Consider the following 4250-nt stretch of genomic DNA (forward strand, 5'->3'; position numbering starts at 1 on the left):
AGAGACTAGGTTTCACCATGTTGCCCAGGCTGGTCTCAAACTCCTGGGCTCAAGTGATCCTGTCTTGGCCTCCCTAAGTGTTGGGATTACAGGTGTGGGCCACCACACCTGGCCAGGAATGTCTTTTGTTCTAATGAGGCTACTCTTGGTGTGCTTCTGGTAGCTTTGGATGGAGGCTGGTCACCAGAAAGACCAAGCCATCATTAGAAGCTTGGAACTTCCAAGCTCCACCTCCCATTCTCCCTGGAGGAGAGAAATGCTGGAAATTGAGTTAATAATCAACCATGACTATGTGATGAGGCCTCCATAAAAATCCCTAAACTATGGGGTTCAAAGAGCTGCCAGGTTGGTGAGCACATTCATGTGCCAAGAGGGTGACACATCCAAATTCCATGGGGAAAGAAACTCCTGCACTCAGACCCCTTCCAACCTTTTATGTACCTTTTTTTTTTTTTTTTTTTTCCATTTTTTTTCTTTTTTATTGATCATTCTTGGGTGTTTCTCGCAGAGGGGGATTTGGCAGGGTCACAGGACAATAGTGGAGGGAAGGTCAGCAGATAAGTGAACAAAGGTCTCTGGTTTTCCTAGGCAGAGGACCCTGCAGCCTTCCGCAGTGTTTGTGTCCCTGGGTACTTGAGATTAGGGAGTGGTGATGACTCTTAACGAGCATGCTGCCTTCAAGCATCCGTTTAACAAAGCACATCTTGCACCACCCTTAATCCATTCAACCCTGAGTGGACATAGCACATGTTTCAGAGAGCACAGGGTTGGGGGTAAGGTCACAGATCAACAGGATCCCAAGGCAGAAGAATTTTTCTTAGTACAGAACAAAATGAAAAGTCTCCCATGTCTACCTCTTTCTACACAGACATGGCAACCATCCGATTTCTCAATCTTTTCCCCACCTTTCCCCCCTTTCTATTCCACAAAACCGCCATTGTCATCATGGCCCGTTCTCAATGAGCTGTTGAGTACACCTCCCAGACGGGGTGGTGGCCGGGCAGAGGGGCTCCTCACTTCCCAGTAGGGGCGGCCGGGCAGAGGCGCCCCTCACCTCCCGGACGGGGCGGCTGGCCGGGCGGGGGGCTGACCCCCCCGCCTCCCTCCCGGACGGGGCGGCTGGCCGGGCGGGGGGCTGACCTCCCCGCCTCCCTCCCGGACGGGGCGGCTGGCCGGGCAGAGGGGCTCCTCTCTTCCCAGTAGGGGCGGCCGGGCAGAGGCGCCCCTCACCTCCCGGATGGGGCGGCTGGCCGGGCCCGGGGCTGACCCCCCCCACATACTTCCCGGACGGGGCGGCTGGCCGGGCAGAGGGGCTCCTCACTTCCCAGTAGGGGCGGCCGGGCAGAGGCGCCCCTCACCTCCCGGACGGGGCGGCTGGCCGGGCGGGGGGCTGACCCCCCCACCTCCCTCCCGGACGGGCAGCTGGCCGGGCAGAGGGATGACCCCCCCACCTCCCTTCCGGATGGGGCGGCTGGCCGGGCGGGGGGCTGACCCCCACCTCCCTCCCAGACGGGGTGGCTGCCAGGCGGAGAGGCTCCTCACTTCCCAGACGGAGTGGCTGCCGGGCGGAGGGGCTCCTCACTTCTCAGAGGGTGTGGCTGCCGGGCAGAGGGGCTCCTCACTTCTCAGACGGGGCGGTTGCCAGGCAGAGGGTCTCCTCACTTCTCAGACGGGGCGGCCGGGCAGAGACGCTCCTCACATCCCAGACGGGGCGGCAGGGCAGAGGCGCTCCCCACATCTCAGACGATGGGTGGCCTGGCAGAGACGCTCCTCACTTCCTAGATGGGATGGCGGCCGGGCAGAGACGCTCCTCACTTTCCAGACTGGGCAGCCAGGCAGAGAGGCTCCTCACATCCCAGACGATGGGCGGCCAGGCAGAGACGCTCCTCACTTCCCAGACGGGGTGGCGGCCGGGCAGAGGCTGCAATCTCGGCACTTTGCGGGGCCAAGGCAGGCAGCTGGGAAGTGGAGGTTGTAGCGAGCCGAGATCACGCCACTGCACTCCAGCCTGGGCACCATTGAGCACTGAGTGAACGCGACTCCGTCTGCCATCCCGGCACCTTGGGAGGCCGAGGCTGGCGGATCACTCGCGGTTAGGAGCTGGAGACCAGCCCGGCCAACACAGCGAAACCCCGTCTCCACCAAAAAAATACGAAAACCAGTCAGGCGTGGCGGCGCGCGCCTGCAATCGCAGGCACTCGGCAGGCTGAGGCAGGAGAATCAGGCAGGGAGGTTGCAGTGAGCCGAGATGGCAGCAGTACAGTCCAGCTTTGGCTCGGCATCAGGGGGAGACCGTGGAAAGAGAGGGAGAGGGAGACCGTGGGGAGAGGGAGACCGTGGGGAGAGGGAGAGGGAGAGGGAGAGGAGGGAGAGGGAGAGGAGGGAGAGGGAGAGGAGGGAGAGGGAGAGGAGGTTATGTACCTTTTAATCTGGTTGTTCATCTGTATCCTTTGTAACATCCTTTATACTAAATCAGTAAATATAAGTAAACGTTTCTCTGACTTTTGCAAGCCATTGAAGCAAATTATCAAACCTGAGGAGAGGGTCATGGGAACCCCTGATTTACAGCCAGTTGGTCAGAAGTACCAGTGACAACCTGGGACTCGATATCTGAAGTGGGGGCTATATTTGTGTGGCTGAGTCCTTAACTTTTGGGGTCTGCACTAACTCTAGGTAGTTAGTGTGAATTGGTTGGTGTCCAGAGAGTTGGAGAATTAATTGGTATGGGAACCCGCTCCACACACACACATACACATTTGGTGTCAGAAATGTCGTGCGTATAGAAAAACAGTTTTTCCTTTTAGGTGTTTTCCTTAAGGAATCATGCAAAGACCTAAGGCAGTAGGTCTCAAGCTTTGCTGCACATTAGAATCAGCTAGAGAACTGTAAAATGTACTAGTCTGATTCCCACCTTCACACAGTCCCATTTAATTGGTTTGGGGTACAATCCAGGCATTGGCAGTTTTGAACGTTTTGCAGGTGATTCTGACTTACAGCAAAGGTTAGGAAACATTGCTCTAAGACATTCCTCCCCGATTCCCACTCAGGATTAAAGCATACACCAAACTGGGCAGAATAAACCCTTGCACTGTGCAAACTCTAGAAAGGTGGTAAGAACATGGTCTATCCTGATCTTAAGCTATAGCATAACAGGCAAAGGAGGAGAGAGATAAATCAGAATCCAGACAGCAAAGAAGGTACCCACATCGTACAAGAACAAGTAGAATTTCAAGTCAGAGCCTCTCAAACATGAATAAAATGAAATGAAACCACATGGCAACAACATAGTCATTCACAGCAATAGAGTGCAAATACACAAATAAGGAAAAGTAATTCAAAAGACACCCAGAGAACCCAAGAGAAGAAAACATAATTCAAGGACAGAAGAAAATTCCACAATTCCAACTAGTTTATCCTCTAAAATTTTTGACGAAAAACATATATAACAATCAAAACTCAAAGAGATGATGAATGATTTTAAAAACATGAAATAAACAGGGAAATTCAAACATAAGGAAACAGCTTAAGGATGAAAGCAGTGTTATTGCAGAACTAATTTAAATTATAACAGGAACAGAGTCGATATCATTGAAAATTGAATTACTGATATAGAGAAAATAATGACACTGAATGCAGATTTTTAAAAGGAATTGAAGTAATTAGAAAGAAGCTAATAATTATAGAAGAGAGACAGAGACAAACCAACAAAAGAAAAACTGTCTCTGAAGAAAAGACTCCAAAAAAATGTAACAGAAGATTAAATCAAAGTTATAGTACAAAAAGAAAAAAAAATCTTTAAACAAAGAGGGAGGCTTGCTGGGCATAGTGATTCATACCTATAATCACAACACTTTGGGAGGCTGAGGCAGGTGGATCACTTGAGCTCAGGAGTTTGAGATTAGCCTGAGCAACATGGTGAAACCCCATCTCTACCAAAAATACAAAAAAATTAGCCAGGTGTGGTGGCATGCGCCTATGTTCCCAGTTACTCAGGAGGCTGAGGTGGGAGGATTGCTTGAGTCTGGGAGGCAGCAGTTGCAGTGAGCCAAGATTGCGCCACTGCACTCCAGCCTGGGCGTCAGAGTGAGACCTTCTCTCAAAAACAAAACAAAAGAGGGAGGAAACTTCAAATCTGCAGGTCAAAAAATATTTCATGTTCCATGAAAAACAGTAATATATACATTGTGCAGCAATGAGAAATACCCTAGATATACTATTGTACTTCAAAATACAAGAAGAGAATTTTTTCA

General features: G+C 51.3%; 1 annotated feature.

Moving 5' to 3' along the window:
- Positions 435 to 1398: an enhancer, noted in NCBI's record as "NANOG-H3K27ac hESC enhancer chr9:90858985-90859948 (GRCh37/hg19 assembly coordinates)". NCBI's record gives its function as "activates a minimal SCP1, AML or CMV promoter by ChIP-STARR-seq in naive H9 embryonic stem cells {active_cell/tissue: H9 hESC(naive)}" and the evidence as "EXISTENCE:reporter gene assay evidence [ECO:0000049][PMID:30033119]".

Source organism: Homo sapiens, chromosome 9 (genome assembly GCF_000001405.40).
Source record: "Homo sapiens chromosome 9, GRCh38.p14 Primary Assembly".
In the NCBI taxonomy this organism is placed as follows: Eukaryota; Metazoa; Chordata; class Mammalia; order Primates; family Hominidae; genus Homo; species Homo sapiens.